Source organism: Homo sapiens, chromosome 21 (genome assembly GCF_000001405.40).
Source record: "Homo sapiens chromosome 21, GRCh38.p14 Primary Assembly".
Taxonomy (NCBI): domain Eukaryota; kingdom Metazoa; phylum Chordata; class Mammalia; order Primates; family Hominidae; genus Homo; species Homo sapiens.
The window spans coordinates 31,940,660-31,956,625 of record NC_000021.9 but is presented as its reverse complement, the minus strand read 5'-3'; the positions used below and the strand labels follow the sequence as shown (position 1 = coordinate 31,956,625).

General features: G+C 46.3%; 1 protein-coding gene across 2 annotated transcripts in view, besides 1 other annotated feature; it reads right to left on the bottom strand.

The window, feature by feature from the left end:
* The window catches only part of HUNK (hormonally up-regulated Neu-associated kinase), a 131,045-nt gene that overhangs the window by 47,439 nt on the left and 67,640 nt on the right, over positions 1-15,966 (bottom strand). For both annotated transcript variants that reach the window (NM_014586.2, XM_011529537.3), the window contains exon 4: positions 10,455-10,590. In NM_014586.2, the coding sequence (NP_055401.1) occupies positions 10,455-10,590 (136 nt within the window). The remainder of the gene's footprint in view (positions 1-10,454; positions 10,591-15,966) is intronic.
* Positions 13,332-13,833: an enhancer, noted in NCBI's record as "NANOG hESC enhancer chr21:33315105-33315606 (GRCh37/hg19 assembly coordinates)". NCBI's record gives its function as "activates a minimal SCP1, AML or CMV promoter by ChIP-STARR-seq in naive H9 embryonic stem cells {active_cell/tissue: H9 hESC(naive)}" and the evidence as "EXISTENCE:reporter gene assay evidence [ECO:0000049][PMID:30033119]".

Genomic DNA, 15,966 nt, shown 5'->3' with positions numbered 1-15,966 from the left:
TAACAGAATGGTACTGAGGAGGCTGAGGAGGAGAGACAGGTTAGGGGTGCAGGGAAGGAGTATCAGGGCTAGTGATATATTTGAGAACGTACTATGCGATGCTGCACTTTGAGTATGTTTGAGGTAGAGCTAAACACTCTTGCTTCGAAAAATTCTTGGAGATCGGTAAGAAGGAATGCTAAAAGGGTCCCAAAATTGTAGAGTTTTGCATACAAAGAGGACTTGGACACATCGCTTTTATGGATGGAAACCTTCTGGCACATCCCACAAAGTTGTTGCTGGGGACCACTGAACAGCCTCTGAGACAAGCTGTTCCCAATGCTTCTGAGCCAGCCTGTTCCATCCAGGGCGATTCTATGCAAAAATAAAGCTTTCCAAGGCTAAGCCAATGTCTACATCTTCTATTCATTGGTTGTGGAACAAGACCAGTTGCTCTTCCATGATCAGCACTTCACATCTTTGAAAACTGGAACCAGGATCTTCCCACCTTTCTGGGTCTTCCCCAGGCTGGGACCTCAGGTCTTTTGCCTGTGCTTTATTTGACATGATTGAGAGTCTCCTCAACAACCCAGTCCTCTGCCCTGAATATACACCAGCAGGTTCATGCAGTTAATGAGCTTCAATGTTTCCATGCTACATAGCAAAGACCTCATATTTCAACAGAGTTGGAGTGAATTGAGTTAAGGGGAGGAAAAAACAAAACCAAGATTCTGTCCCTGCTCACCACCTCTGAGTGCCTAATCTTGGCTCTAACATTCACACCTAAAGCTGAAGAGCCTGCTACTTATACAATATCATTTTTTTCCGCAGTAAGTGCTTCATAATGCCTAACTCATTCAGTGTTTCTCAAACTGAGGTACACAGACACATCCTCACGGGTGCAACAGTTCTAATTTTTATTTTCTTTTTGGTAATTGACTAAAACATTTCACAAAGCATAACCAGAGGCATTGGATGACCACCATATAACTAAGAACACCTTCCACCACACACACCCAATTTCAGTGTCTGCCTTGGTATTTCTTTTTCTTTTTTGAGACGGAGTCTCGCTCCATCGCCCAGGCTGGAGTAGAGTGGCGCGATCTCGGCTCACTGCAAGCTCTGCCTCCCGGGTTCACGCCATTCTCCTGCCTCAGCCTCCCGAGTAGCTGGGACTACAGGCGCCTGCCACCAGGCCTGGCTATTTTTTTTTTTTTTTTCGTAGAGACGGGGTTTCACTGTGTTAGCCAGGATGGTCTCGATCTCCTGACCTCGTGATCCACCCGTCTCGGTCTCCCAAAGTGCTGGGATTACAGGCGTGAGCACCGCGCCCGGCCCTGCTTTGGTATTTCTTTATCAATGCACTATTTTTGCCAAAAAAAAAAAAATCACTTTTATTGTCATAGCCTAATGAGAAGGAAGCAGAGGTGGACTTAATGTGTCAGTGATGCATCTGTGCTTCTGTCAGTGGAAAGTCTCCTGGTGACTGGAATAGCGTGTGGTTCGTCCTCAGACCAGTGGCATCAGCACTACCTGAGAACTTGTTGAAAATGCACATTCAGCCAGGCGCAATGGCTCACACCTGTAATTCCAGCAATTTGGGAGGCTGAGGCGGGTGGCTCTCTTGAGCTCAGGAGTTCGAGATCAGCCTGGGCGGGCAACATGGTGAGACCCCATTTCTACAAAAAATACCAAAATTAGCCAGGCATGGTGGCATGCGCCTGTAAGTCCCAACTACTTGGGGGGCTGAGGTGTGAGGATCACTTGAGCCCAGGAGGTTGGGGCTGCAGTGAGATGTAAGTGTGCCACTGCACTCCAGCTTGGGCAACAGAGCAAGACCCTGACTCTTAAAAAAAAAGAAAAGAAAAAGAAAGAAAACGCACATTCCTGGATGCCACTGCACATCTCCGGAATCAGAAACTCTGCAGTGTTTTTGCAAGCCCTCCAGGTGCTTCTGATGCGTACTCAAAAAATTGGAAAGCCCTGGAAGAATGAAAAGTTTTAGGGGAGGTGTGGCATCACAAGATGGGCCTGACAAGCTCAAAGAACCTGTGCCCAGCAGTGAGAACTGCACTCATGCTGTGTACAGCCATTCCCTTCCCACAAAACATTAGCCATTGCATTAACGTTGCTAATTTGAATATTCTGGGGTTCTTTTACTCTTGGTTCTATTTAACCTGTAAATGAGTTTTGGTTTTTCAGTTGTACAGGGCCATAAATAAAAGGAGTTTGATTTGGGGCTCATGTACTTATAACTAACATTTAAATAAAAATAACTCACGTCAACACACACAGTTATCGAGAACGTTCTTCCTTTAAAAACACAGTGTATAATACTCAAATGTGCAGACCACTGCTCTACGACCTTTTATATTCCCTTTAATCTTTACGGCACACCTAGCTTCCTGTCCCAGGTGGGGGTGTCGTATAGTGCAGATGCCTCTAGGAAGTAGGACATCATGATAATGGGAGGACAACCCCACTAAAGGGGTTTGGAGACCATATGAGGCCAGAGGAGCAACTCTAAAGCCTTTATGAATGTTTCTTTCTTGAAGGAGACCCTGAGACACCAAACTGCTTGCCTTCTTGTCACCAACTGGCTTCAACAGACGCCAAAAATCTCCTCAAGTCACTGCATATTACACTGGTCTTTGCCTCTCTCCATCATCTGGCTGGGACCACAGATAAGATTAACAGATGCTTGTCTTCAAGATGGCGCCAGAGCCATCCAGGTGGCAGGTCTGGTCAGGGTTGAGCAAGCAGTTTTTGTAGTAACTTTAATTGATGACTTTACAAACTGATTCCAGAATTCCATTTCTTTTGGAGGAATTTATCATCAATGAAAAAAAAAATTGTCACAAATCCTTAAAGAGGACCCACCTCTCTCATCCTAGGGTCTCTCATCCATAAGATGTGGATAATAATAGTACCTACCTCTCAGATCGTATGAGGCTCACATCAACTAAGCCACAGAAAGACCTGAATTCTGTAGTTGGAATAAATTAAGCTTGATAAATTGTGATCTATTGTTTCATCAAAAAACCTTTCTTAAAATAAGAGGGAAAAAGCTACAGTTTTATTTGTACTGTATTGCCAAATAAGAGTGGAAACCTGGCCGGGCACAGTGGCTCACGCCTGTAATCCCAGCATTTCAGGAGGCTGAGGTGGGCGGATCACCAGAGGTCAGAAGTTCGACACCAGCCTGACCAACATGGAGAAACCCCATCTCTACTAAAAATACATAATGAGCTGGGCTTGGCGGTGCATGCCTATATTCCCAGCTACTTTGGAGGCTGAGGCAGGAGAATCTCTTGAACCCGGGAGTTGGAGGTTGTGGTAAGCAGAGATTGCGCCATTGCCTGGGCAACAAGAGCGAAACTCCATCCCAAAAAAAAAAAAAAAAGAATGGAAACCTATGTGAACAGTCAAACACTCCTAGCTAGGAGATTTTAAAAAGGGAAACCAGATTAAGCATCTTAATTCCTCTCCCCCGGAGTTTCCATACATGTTTAATATCTGGATAAAGAGAAACCTAGTCCATCTGACATTTCAGAAGTATGTGAGGATACCAAGGGAAAAATGTGGAATGCAGTTTATAAACCTCTGTAATCCCATAGAATTAGTAGGAGTTTCAAAACATGTTCAGAATTTCCTGATGGGTCTTTTGAAATATGGCCCAGGGGCTTTCTGGATTCTCCGTGGCAGACATGGGATTCCCAAGAATCAAAGACAGTCTTAACAAATGAGAGGGATGAGAGACTGGGACAAGAGAGGGCAACAATCAAATACGACCAGGGGTTTTTCCAGCAGAATGAAATAAGGATGAGCTATCGCAGGACAGAAGAAAACCCAAAGATACTAGGCAGCATAGAATACTCTGATCTCAAAAGAGGAAGAAAGGCAGACACTGGGTGGGGGGTGGGGGCGGCAGCTGAAAGAAGAGGAAAAGGGCCCTTACTTATGAAATACAAACGGGAAAGCTTGGAGTTAAGTCAAAAGCCAAATGGCCATCCTGATATTTAGTCTGGTACACAAAAAAAAATACTCCCTGGAGGAAAAGTTGTGGTATCACCTGCCATCCCAAAGAGGAAAGACATGGAGTCACTGCTCCCTGGAGAAGTCGCTGGCAATTTTAACAAGATGCAAGGGACAAAGCAATGGACAGAGCCACCCCGGCAGGTGGAGGGAAGGTCTGATTACTCGTTCTTAAGGGGCATGTGGACAGGAGCCTCGGAAACTGCCCAGTTTACACAGAGTGCAGCCAAGAGGACCTTCGGGAGATGCACCTTGCTTCTGTGTGGCTCTCCAAGAAAGGAAATGCCTTGGAAAAATTAAAAATAACTTCCACCTGAAAGCAATATCTTTCCATCTTTCAGTATCAACTTTTAATAATATAACTTCCAATTTAAGGCCTTGAAAGTAGACTAGGAAAAAAAAAAAAGAAAGTAGACTAGGAACCAATTCATCCATTTGGAAAATCTCAGATCTCACCACTGTTCCATTAAATGGTCTATGTTTAGCAAGAAATTATTTTCTTGCGGATTTCAAAATGGTTGTTTCTTTTCCTTTCCTTCCTTCCTTTACTCTATGTTAAATATACATGCTAGCTATAAAAAAAAAATCTCGTACTTTATAACTGAATAATCTCAGAAGCTAAGGGAAACCTCTCTCTCAAAAGTCAAAAGGCCTAAGGTTCCCCAAAGGAGTCATAGCTTTACTCTTCCCACTGCCTCCTGCTAGCCTTCATTTTGAGAGGGTCTCAACACAGAGAAAACACTAATACCATCCTTCTGTATTTGACCCCTGCCAGTAGCTGATGATATCTGGTAGTACTTTTACAAAACACTGAGTCTGAGGCCTAGAACAAATTCTCTCACTCTCCCTCCTGAACACCCAGTTCTATATGGAGACAGGAGAGCTATTTGGAGACATGGTGCCTCTTGGCCGAGTTGTCCACCCACAGGTACAGCACTGGAGACAGGGATTTTTTTTTCCACTATGTGAAAACAGATTCACTGAGCTAGGAAGGTGGACTGAGTGTGTTGTGTGTGACTCTCCAGGAGGCACCAGGCCCTCACGCAAATACTTCACCCATCCATCCCAGGGACCCCCATGAGAGCAAAGGACAGCTTTAGTCCAACAACGTTGCATTCTCAATCTTCTCGGTATAGAACTCTCAATTTCTGTTTTCCTTACCAGTAGGGATTCACTGAAGGTTGCACATGAGTATTGTAATATTCTGAAGATAAAGTTAATTTTGATTCTTTTCAATTAAAAAGCACATCTGCATTAAAGTTGTTATAAATTAGCATATATGTCACTCTGAGGAAAAGTCAATTCACAGTAATAAAAGTTCAATGCACCAGAATGAATATTTTTGGTTTTTGTGTCTGAAACCTCAAAGTTCATTGGAGACACACACATCTATATGTTATTTTTATATATATATATATATTTATACATATAATCTGGGGTAAAGGAAAGAAGTGAATTATTTTACAGCTATTCTTTACGGTCTTGAAAATAACCACCATTGAAAATAATGGAAAACCCCCAAGAAATACAAACCCCCAAGAAAGCGCGCCATTTCCCATTTCCATTGTTAATTATGGCTTCACTAGCGGAGGGTCCTGGGGGCCCTATTTGTAGGGAAGAGCTTTCTTTCCCAAGGTTTCTTTCAATGACAGGCTGATTTTCTTCCTAAATCTATCTCAGAAGTTGTGGATAAAGTCTCTGCCATCCATCAGGTCCAAAGCCTCCAGGGAGGGGAGTTTGCTTTTTTGGAAGTGAACTCTTCATTCTGTTTTTGTTTCTGAGCCATAAAGAGAGAAGCCATTTTATAATAACAGTGTCTAACCCAGCAAGAAAATCGGTTCCATTTTCACTCTCATTTTAAACAGCCTTCTACATTAAATTCAATTTTGGTTTTCCATTTCCACTTCTGCCAGCAAAGTCATGGGCACCAAACAGAAACCTAACTTGTATCTCAGACACAAAATCAGACCCCAAGTTTAGACAGATAGAAAGTTTGCTCAGACCCCAAAGCAGTAGGAAATTCATCTCTTAAAAGGTGCTGAAGTTTTATGTTTTCGCCAAAATTAAGAGGAAGAGAAATCAGATGTGTCACACCTACCAGCCTTTTGCATATGCTGTTCCCTCTGCCTGGAACGTTTCCCCACCTGTTCTCCACCTGGCCGTCTCCACTCATCTTTGAGGAACAGATCATACTTGACTACAGATGCCTTCCTGACTTAACCCAGCTGTGCAGCCATATGTGCTAGGGTTGCCATAACAAAAGAATCTGGTTTTTTTTCTCACCAGTTTACTTTTGACCTTTCCTGGCCTTCTTCCCTGACACCTTCCTCTTCCCATAGCTGGTTCCTTCTCATTCTTAGGATCTGGCTTTGAAGTCATCTCCTCAAGAGGCCACTCCATCTTGTTCCCTGAATCCCTCTCACTTCCTCCACAGCCATTACCACACTCAGTTTATAGCATTTTAAAATACCAGCTGTTTGTCCCACTAGCATGTAAACCCCACCAGAGGAAGTACAACATCACAGATGCAGTAGAGGGTGGTGATTCAGGGGCCTAGGGCAAACCACGTAGGTCAAATCGTGGCTCTGTCACACGCTGGCTGTGTCATGGGGGCAAGTGGCTGAGGTCTTTCATGCCTCAGTTTCCACACCTTTAAATTGGGAGTAATACAGCACTACCTTGAAGGGTTGTTAGGCAGATAGGATGAGTCAATACATGCTGATCATTACAAAGAGCCTGGCACCTCCCCTCTCTCTTGCTTCCTCTCCCACCATGTGATCTCTGCACACACTGGTCCCCCGCACCTCCCACCATGAGTGGAAGCGGCCTGGGGCCTCACCAGAAGCCGATGCTGCCACCATGCTTCTTGTACAGCCTGCAGAACCATGAGCCAAATAGAGCTCTTTTCCTTATGAATGACCCAGCCTCAGGTATTCCCTTGCAGCAACAAAAGACAGACTAAGACAGGGGACCTCTTGGTCTTTCAGGCTCCCATAGCCTTTTGTGCTTTTGTGTGCGTGTGTGTGTGTGTGTGTGCACAAATTCTTCCTCTCATAGCTTCCCATTTAGCATAAATGACTTCTCTAACTGTTAAGAAAGTGATTATAGACCCACATATTCATATTCATCCACTCAATACATATTTATTGAGGGAAGACAGTGTGCCAGACACCTTTGAGAGTTCTTAAGGGTTGGAAGAAATCCATAATGGATTTCCTCCCATATACAACTCTGATCCACTGGCATTAGCTGCCGGGAGGGGCTGTGTTGAGGGGGATTCAGAGGCCTTCTCAGAAGTGAAGTCTATGACTAGCAATGCCCTAGAAGAGAAGGCATCCTCTGCTGCTCCCTGCTCCATTCCACTAGCTCCACATGACCCCAGCCCACCTGGGCCCGTCATCAGCACACCACACACACCCCATATGCAGCCTGCACACCAGACCACACCTGCAAAGTAACTGGGAGCCCAGCCTTCAGCAAAGTGTGGCTCCACTACATTCGGGCTCGTGTGTGCCTCTAGGCAGTGCTCACCACTCTCTTCTATCCGTGCAAACTGGGGGCAAGAGATGTGTCTCACAGGACTGTCCTGAGGTTCAGGGGTGACTAACCAGGGCACCCAGCCCGCTCAGGAGCAGCAGCTGATTCCTGACGTGTTTCACCTCCTCGCTGACAAGCAGGTCCTCTTAGCCAGGGTTCCAGAAGAGTCGGCCCCTTCTGGGAAAGTTCCAGGAATTCTTTATCTCTCCACATCTCATTCTGGTCTGTTTCTTCTCAATCTCCAACCGGAACATCCTGAGCTCATCTCGCTTCTAGAGCCTTGAGCTGACCCACATTCCTCTGCTTGCTTTCTCAGCCAGCTTCAGCCCTGACCTTCCAGCTTCTGTTTCCCTGGATGAAATGCCTGCTCCTTCCTCCTGTCCCTCTTTCCCTTTTCTCTTCCTTCCTCCCTCCCTCCGTCCTTCCTTTCCTTTCTCCTTCCTCTCTCCTCCTTCCCACCTCCTTTTTCTCCTCCCTCCCTTCCTCCAAGTTCCACCAGGTGCTGAGGAAATCCTGGGAGTGAGCCAAGTGGTCCCTGCCCCCTCAGCTACAGCCCAGAGGGTTCCAGCAGGTGGACTGAGACCTCACGGTGAGGCCCAGGAACACAGATAGCCAGGCACTGGAGGGTACATGGGAGGGCCTCAAAGCCAGCCAGCTGGAGACACAGAGGGCTGCCCAGAGGAACCTGCACCCAACAACACAAGAGGGAAAAAGAGAGGGTTCCAGGCCGAAGGAACTGTGCATGTAAGGGCTGGAATGTAGCAGGAGCAGGCTGTGTTCAGGGAATAGGAAACAATGCCAGGTTAGCCAGAGAATGGATGGGGAGAGGAGGGGAGCGGGCATGCCTTCAGCGAGGCCACAGGGCAAGCAAGGGTCCCCACACGCCACGTTGGAGAGCTGGGGCTGTATCTTGAGACCCTGAAAGGACACTGCTTGGTTCAAATCCCACTCTACCACTTAGCAGCTCTATGACCTTGGGCGATTTTATTCATTTCTCTTATGATGGGTTTCTTCTTCCATAAAATAGGGTAATAGAGAGTAATGATTGCACTGGGTCATTGTGAAACTAAGTGACATGGTGTCTGGCACACATCAAGCACTAAGTAAGCGTTAGCTTTTCTGCCAACCTGGACAAGGGGGTTACAGTGAATATGAAGAGATGCAGGGGAATTCCAGAAATACTCCGGATCAACACACCCTTCACGCAAACGAGTCTTTCTCGTCTATATCTTAATCAGAACCTCACTCTCTCTACAGCCCATTTCCCTATGGCAAAGGATTGAGTCCTATCCAAGAATCCAAGACTCTGAACTGACCCTGTACCATCACTGACAGGGGATGGTGGAGGGGGTGACTCACTGTGACCATGGGGGACCCAGGCTCTACCTTTGGTGCAACTGAGGATTCATCCTCCAAATATTTATTGTGCTTACCCCTGGTGGCCCTTCCTGTACCAGACCCTGGGAACAAAATGGTGAACCAGACCAACCAATTCCCTCCCTTCGTGCAGAGTCCTTGCTGGCTGGGGAGACAGGAGAGGAATGGATTTAAAACAGGAAAAGGACAGGCATTGAGAGGTGCCGAGAACGAAATTAAAAGGGTGAGGACAGAGTACGGGGGACTCCCTGGCAGGGAGCTCAGAAATGATCTCGGCAGTGACGCCATTGGCTTGAGAATGGGATGTGGGAATGCGCAGGCGCCACTGGCTTGAGACTGGGATGTGGGAATGCGCAGGCGCCACTGGCTTGAGACCGGGATGTGGGAATGCGCAGGCGCCACTGGCTTGAGCCCGGGATGTGGGAATGCGCAGGCGCCACTGGCTTGAGACTGGGATGTGGGAATGCGCAGGCGCCACTGGCTTGAGACTGGGATGTGGGAATGCGCAGGCGCCACTGGCTTGAGCCTGGGATGTGGGAATGCGCAGGCGCCAATGGCTTGAGAATGGGCTGTGGGAATGCATAGGCGCCACTGGTTTGAGACTGGGATATGGGAATGCGCAGGCGCCACTGGCTTGAGCCTGGGATGTGGGAATGCGCAGGCGCCACTGGCTTGAGAATGGGATGTGGGAATGTGCAGGTGCCACTGGCTTGAGAATGGGATGTGGGAATCCGCAGGCCATCCAAAGAGCTGGGAAAGGACATTCCAGGCATCACCAGTGAACGGCCGGGCGCGTGGCTCATGCCGGTAATGCCAGCACTTTGGGAGGCCGAGGCGGGTGGTTCACCTGAGGTCAGGAGTTTGAGACCAGCCTGGCCAACATGGTGAAACTTCGTCTCCACTAAAAATACAAAAATTAGCTGGGCATGGTGGTGCATGCCTGTAATCTCAGCTACTTGGGAGGCTGAGGCAGGGTAATCACTTGAACCTGGGAAGGGGAGGTTGCAGTGAGCTGAGATCACACGACTGCACTCTAGCCTGGGCGACAGAGAAAGACTCTGCCTCAAAAAAAAACAAGCCCAGAGGTGGGAGCGACAAAAGGGAGGTCAATATGTCTGAAGAACTGTGAGCAGGACAGGGGGTAGGAGAGATGGGCGAGCAAGTCCCGCAAGGAGCACAGGCCAGGCAGCAGGATGGAGCTTCACACAGAGGGCGATGGGAAGCTAAGGGCAGGAGGATGGGGCATAAATGAGTCGCAGAGCCAGAATGTGAGCTCTGTGAGGGCAGGACGTGGTTTTCTTCTCTTCTCAGCACCGCAGTGAATTTTGGTAAAGGCCACTCTGACAGTTTGTGCAGAAAAAAACAGAAGGAACAGAGATGGAAAGCCAGGCCCCAAAGAATCCCTGATGACATACTCCTGGGCCTGTCACCTATACATGCCATCCAATACTCAGGCATGATTTCATAAGGAAGGCACGGTGGAGACAGCAGGAGGAACACTGACTTTCAGAAGCTTGATAACTCACATGGACCAGACATCGATTTTGGGGCCGTATTTCTTCCTGGCGAGCAGTTCAGGTGCAGCGTAGGCAGGGCTGCCACACTGTGTGCTGAACGGATCCGAGTAACCCAGGATCCCTGCGCAGTTGCTCAAACCAAAGTCTGCAAAGAGAGGTGAACAAAACAAGCTCCGAATTAGAAAACTGCGGAAATGAAGAGGGAGGAACAAAAGGAAAAATAAAAAGGGCAGCAGGAAAGGAAACATTCTCTCAGGCTAACACATCATTTAGCATCCTAAAGAAAACTGTAGCAGCTGCAAACCATAACGTCTGGATACGAGACTCAAGGCAAAAGAATTCCCTGGCTTAGCTGAGAGCATTTGACATCGGGCCTCACTGTTAAAGCCAGTTAGAGCAAACAGTATGCTGAACTAAAACCTATTTCCATCCAATCTTGTAAATGAGTCATCCAGGAAAAAAAGAGAGAATTCGCTTTCTAGGATGAAGGCAGGAAGAAAGAACAAGCAGAGGGGATTTGAGTTAGCTCCCAAGCTGCCAAGTGGGGAAAAGATGAGGGAAGATTGATTCTCTCTGGCTGCCTGTGTCACCCTCAGTGACATGCAATCCAGCCACTTACAGTTGACTTTTTCAGCTGAATGTTTTCGTTTCATGAAAGTCTTTTAAAAATTCCCCCTAAGTTATGCAGCACATATAGTGACTTGAAGAGGGGAAAAATACACCCAACAGTTTAAACAACCCTGAATGCTGGCTGGAAAAGTAGCACCAGAAAGATGGCAATGCAAACTAGACTAAGCGACCTCATGGCACTGCTTTGTTCCTGGATGATTAAGATGCCCAGGAAGAGGGGGGAGAAAGCCCACTGCATCGAGTGACTTTGGGTCTATTATGCCTTCTGCGCCATGTTTATCTTTTGATCTTAAAGATACTGAAACTGACAGGTAATTAAAGAGCTGTTACTGTTATGCCCTCATCTGAATCTTTCCTTAATCTTTGTTGATCTCAGAATTAAGATCGCAGCTCATCCTTTGAACTTCAATGTAAATATTATGGTCCATCCCCCACAAACAGAAGACTCGGGCTGCAGGGCTCAGGCAGAGACAGGCTTCCAGTCTTGAACAAAACTCTCGCACTTTCTCAATCGGCAGTATTTATGTCCAGTTTCACGAATGTATTCTCACCTCACTCTAACATGTCTCCACCTGCAAGGCACATGACCATTAGGAACGTTGTAGGAAATCTCAGGGAAGGAGAAATACAGTCCAGTCTGTGAAGTTAATTGCACACCATGGATCAAGATGTCACAGCCAAAATGTTTTCCAAAAGTCATTGCGTTAAGCTTTTCTAAAAAGAATCTCATCTAAGCAGAGCTCAGAAAACTCTTGAAGACTCTAAATATCACCCAGACTCTTCAGCCCAAACTATAAGAGGGAATGGCAAGCAAACCAACCAGGCATGCTGCATGTCCAAACACTGAGCTCTTCTTTTGTTTTTTTATGATTCCATATTTCTCCCTTAACCTCCCTCCCCTTCTCCTCCTTGACTCCCTTACTCTTCCCTCCCCAACCCTCCCCCCACACCCCATTTCCTTTCCCATCAACCCAGCCAGACCCATAGACCCCACAAACCCTGTCCCAGATAAGTCCTTCAGGAGTCATGGGTGTGGGACTGTCTCTGGATTCCCACCTTAGGAGGAGATATCAGTTAAAAAGAACCTGAGAAACCCTGTTCTCAGACCCCACCCCTCAGGATCACTGAAACGGGAAGAAAAGGGGGTGAATATTTTTATAAGAAGAAAAATCTGCCGGGGACAGTGGCCCATGCCTGTAATCCCAACACTTTGGGAGGCCAAGGTAGGCAGATCACCTGAGGCCAATAGTTCAAAACCACCCTGGGCAACATGGCGAAACCCTGTCTCTACTAAAAATACAAAATTAGCCAGGCGCGGAGGCGCACACCTGTTGTCCCAGCTACTCGGGAGGCTGAGGCAGGAGAACTGCCTGAACCCAAGAGGCAAAAGTTGCAGTGAGCCAAGACTGCGCCACTGCACTCCAGCCTGGGAGACAGAACGAGACTCCATCTCAAAAAGAAAGGTGGGAGGGACAAGAAAAATAGTATTGTGCTTTAAATTGGAGGGTTGTTTGACGGCTTTCAGTTTGAAAATGAACCTAAAAGAATGTTAATGAACAAACAAATGTGTGAGGAGCACCTACTGTGAGAGACAGCACCATCAAATAAACACAATAATAGCTGGGGAGGCCCAATTTCATCAGAGTCCTGGAAATTGTTATCTCTAAACTTCTGAGATCAAAGCAAAAGACTCTGTTCCTAATCTCAAAGCAGTCCCTTCACAGCAAAGGGCTGCCTCGATCTGTTCACTTCCTCACCACCCTGAGACCTGAGGTCCAGAAAGAAGGACTTGTTCTCAGAAGAGGGCAGAGAGAGAGATAAGAGGCCAGATCACCCTCCACCATCCCAGGCAAGTTTGGGAACAGTCTGGCCTTATCTTGAGCACAGTTTCAAGAAGAAAACTTAGCAGAGGATCTGGGAGGTGGAAGAGAGAGAATCTGCATGTTAAGCAACTTATGTTGATCTAGCCAAAAGGGTTTGATTTAAAATATATTTGTAGAGAAACAACCAGTTTGCTTCACATTCATAATTGAAATTATTAAAACTGTACACATCTGCCTATAATTGGAATTGTGGAACTTGAGAGAAGGCCACCTCCCAGCAATGTCACATGGGTCTGTCTCAATTAGGTTTGGTAAATATATCAACCAACGACGACTCAATTTTCTGAGAGCTACAGAATGAATCTCACAAAACGCCCAAGTGAACCTGTTTTGGAATACTGAAGTGCAAAACTCTCCTAAGTTGCAGCTCTTCCATTTTAAGATTAAACTTACCAGACATCAGACTGCTTTTTTTGAAAGGGAAAAAAAACCTCCTGATTAAATCACATCTTACTCCTGGTAATTCTAGTTAATTTGAAACATGGCTTAAGTAGATTTATTTAAACCAAATTCTTTCAAAGAAAGAGAAACTATTAAGAGGCAATCATAATAGCTATAATCACCTTTGAAAAAAAAAAGTAGGTAATGCCTTTGAAGAAAAGAAGGTTCAAAGAGCTTTCAACTTACAAAAAAGACAGGAGTTGGAAGATCTTTGATCTAAATTGCCCAACCCAGGGGCAAGAAACCTCACAACACACTGGGCCTTCATCTCTCCCTCCATGCCTTCCGGAAATGCGGTTCTTTCTTAACAAAATGCAGTTCCTACCAGCCCTCAGGTGTGGTCTAAGGTCTCTCTCGGGGCAGGTATGAGGTAGGGTTCCTCAGTTTCCACTGCTCAGTAGAGAACTGGCAACCAAATTGGCATCTTTAACAAAGGGAAATCCAATGGTCACTGCCTGCTTTCTAGCAGGTGCGGGCATCCTGCTTTCTGAAGGAGCCGATTTTGTCCCAAATACCTAAAATGTCTTTGTAGTGCCCACCCAGCCATTGCCAGCAGAGAGGTGATGACTCTGAGAGATTTGAATAAAATGGTTCCTGGCACCCAAAGAGTGACCATAACATGCAGCAAGAGGGGAAGGGGTGGGCTCTGATTTAGGTGTATAATTTCCTCACTTGACTGGACAGGTCTCCTCTAAGAGGTTCTATTACTCAACCAATCCGTGAGCTCCTTATAAATGCATCCACCGATTGCAGCAGTGAAATGATTGGTTTTCCTAGAATCCCCTGAGCAAACGTCCAACCAATAAAAAGGTCTGTGCATTTCACCATTGCTTATTCCACAAGATAGTTCTGTCAGTGGTCACCTAGGGCTACCACTTAAGGAGAAAGCAGAGAGACCAAGCACAGAGGAGACAGAGGGGCAAGAGGAAAGGGAAGAAACAGGATGGGCAATGCCCACCTCCTGAGATGTGGAAACTCCGTCTGTACCTTACACGACTCACCAGCCTCAGTCTTTTTGAGACGGAGTCTCGCTCTGTCGCCCAGGCTGGAGTGCAGTGTCACGATCTTGGCTCACTGCAACCTCCACCTCCCAGGTTCAAGCGATTCTCCTGCCTCAGCCTCCTGAGTAGCTGGGATTATAGGCGCACGCTACCACGCCTGGCTACTTTTTGCATTTTTAATAGAGACGGGGGTTTCACATGTTAGTCAGGCTGGTCTTGAACTCCTGACCTTGTGATCCACCCTCCTCGGCCTCCCAAAGTGGGATTACAGGTGTGAGCCACTGCACCTGGCCTATTCTAACTTTTATTGTCATATAAATACTGCTGTTACAAAGTCTGTTCTTTTATAGTCTCTGGTGCTGTTAGGACAACTCTATCACTGTCACCTCCACATTTTCCAAAGAACAGTTACAGGGAACCTAAAACAAAAAACTCCTTTCCTCCATTCCCTACCCCACACCAGGAGGCCCCTTTGTTTAACACTCCAGATCTCGGAAATGAGGACCAGAGAGACTTCCTGCAAGCATTTCAACACGAGTGCCTTGTTTTCCAGCTTCTGCACTTGGCCCCTCAAGACAACTAAAATGCAATAGTAAAACAATTTAACAAAAAGAAAATCAGCCAGGCATGGTGGCTCATGCCTGTAATCCCAGCACTTTGGGAGACCAAGGCGGGCAGATCACCTGAAATCAGGAGTTCGAGACCAGCCTGGCCAACATGGTGAAACCCCATCTCTACTAAAAATACAAAAATTAGCCAGGCGTGGTGCTGGGTGCCTGTAATCCCAGCTACTCGGGAGGCTGAGACAGGAGAATCGCTTGAACCCGGGAGGCAGAGGCTGCAGTGAGCCAAGATTGCACCACTGCACTCCAGCCTGGGCAACAGAGGGAGACTCCATCTCAGGAAAAAAAAAAAAGAGAGAGAGAAAAGAAAAGAAAATCCTTTGAATTATCTAAGAATCTTCTAAGAATAGATTCTTCTAAATGCTTTTGGGGAAAAATTGGTTTCCTCTTCACGATTAACTCTCTAGTAATAAGTGTATCCATCAACACCTATCAGTGGTGTTTAATTATCCAGAGTCTGTGCATCCTCTTGCCCAGTACTGAATTGGGAGCTGACTGTAATCCCAAAATATCTAATAAGTCATTTTAATGATGTGTTTTGGAGAATCTTGTGATGACTTTCAGCATTTGTCAAACAAAAGTTCCTTCTTGGGCATAAAAGTTAAATTCACAAAGTCCTATTGATCCTTCTCTTTTCCCCTCATATAAAGTCTTTTCAAGCCATTGAGGTAAAAGAAATTACTTGCATCTGAGGTGGGAGAAAAAAGAAAAGAGGGGAATAAAAGATGGTGCCATCTAATATCTGGATATAAAAATGATGCCCTGAATTCTGCCCAGAGCGACCACAGAGGGAGAAAATAACAACAACAGAACCACCTGAATTCGTCTAGAAAACGAGTTGTGCAGTGAATTTGCTATGGACCATGAATTATGAACCAATTATGATGCCCCATCTTGTAGCTTCCTTCTGATTGGTTCAGACTTCTAATTATCCCTTTGTGGG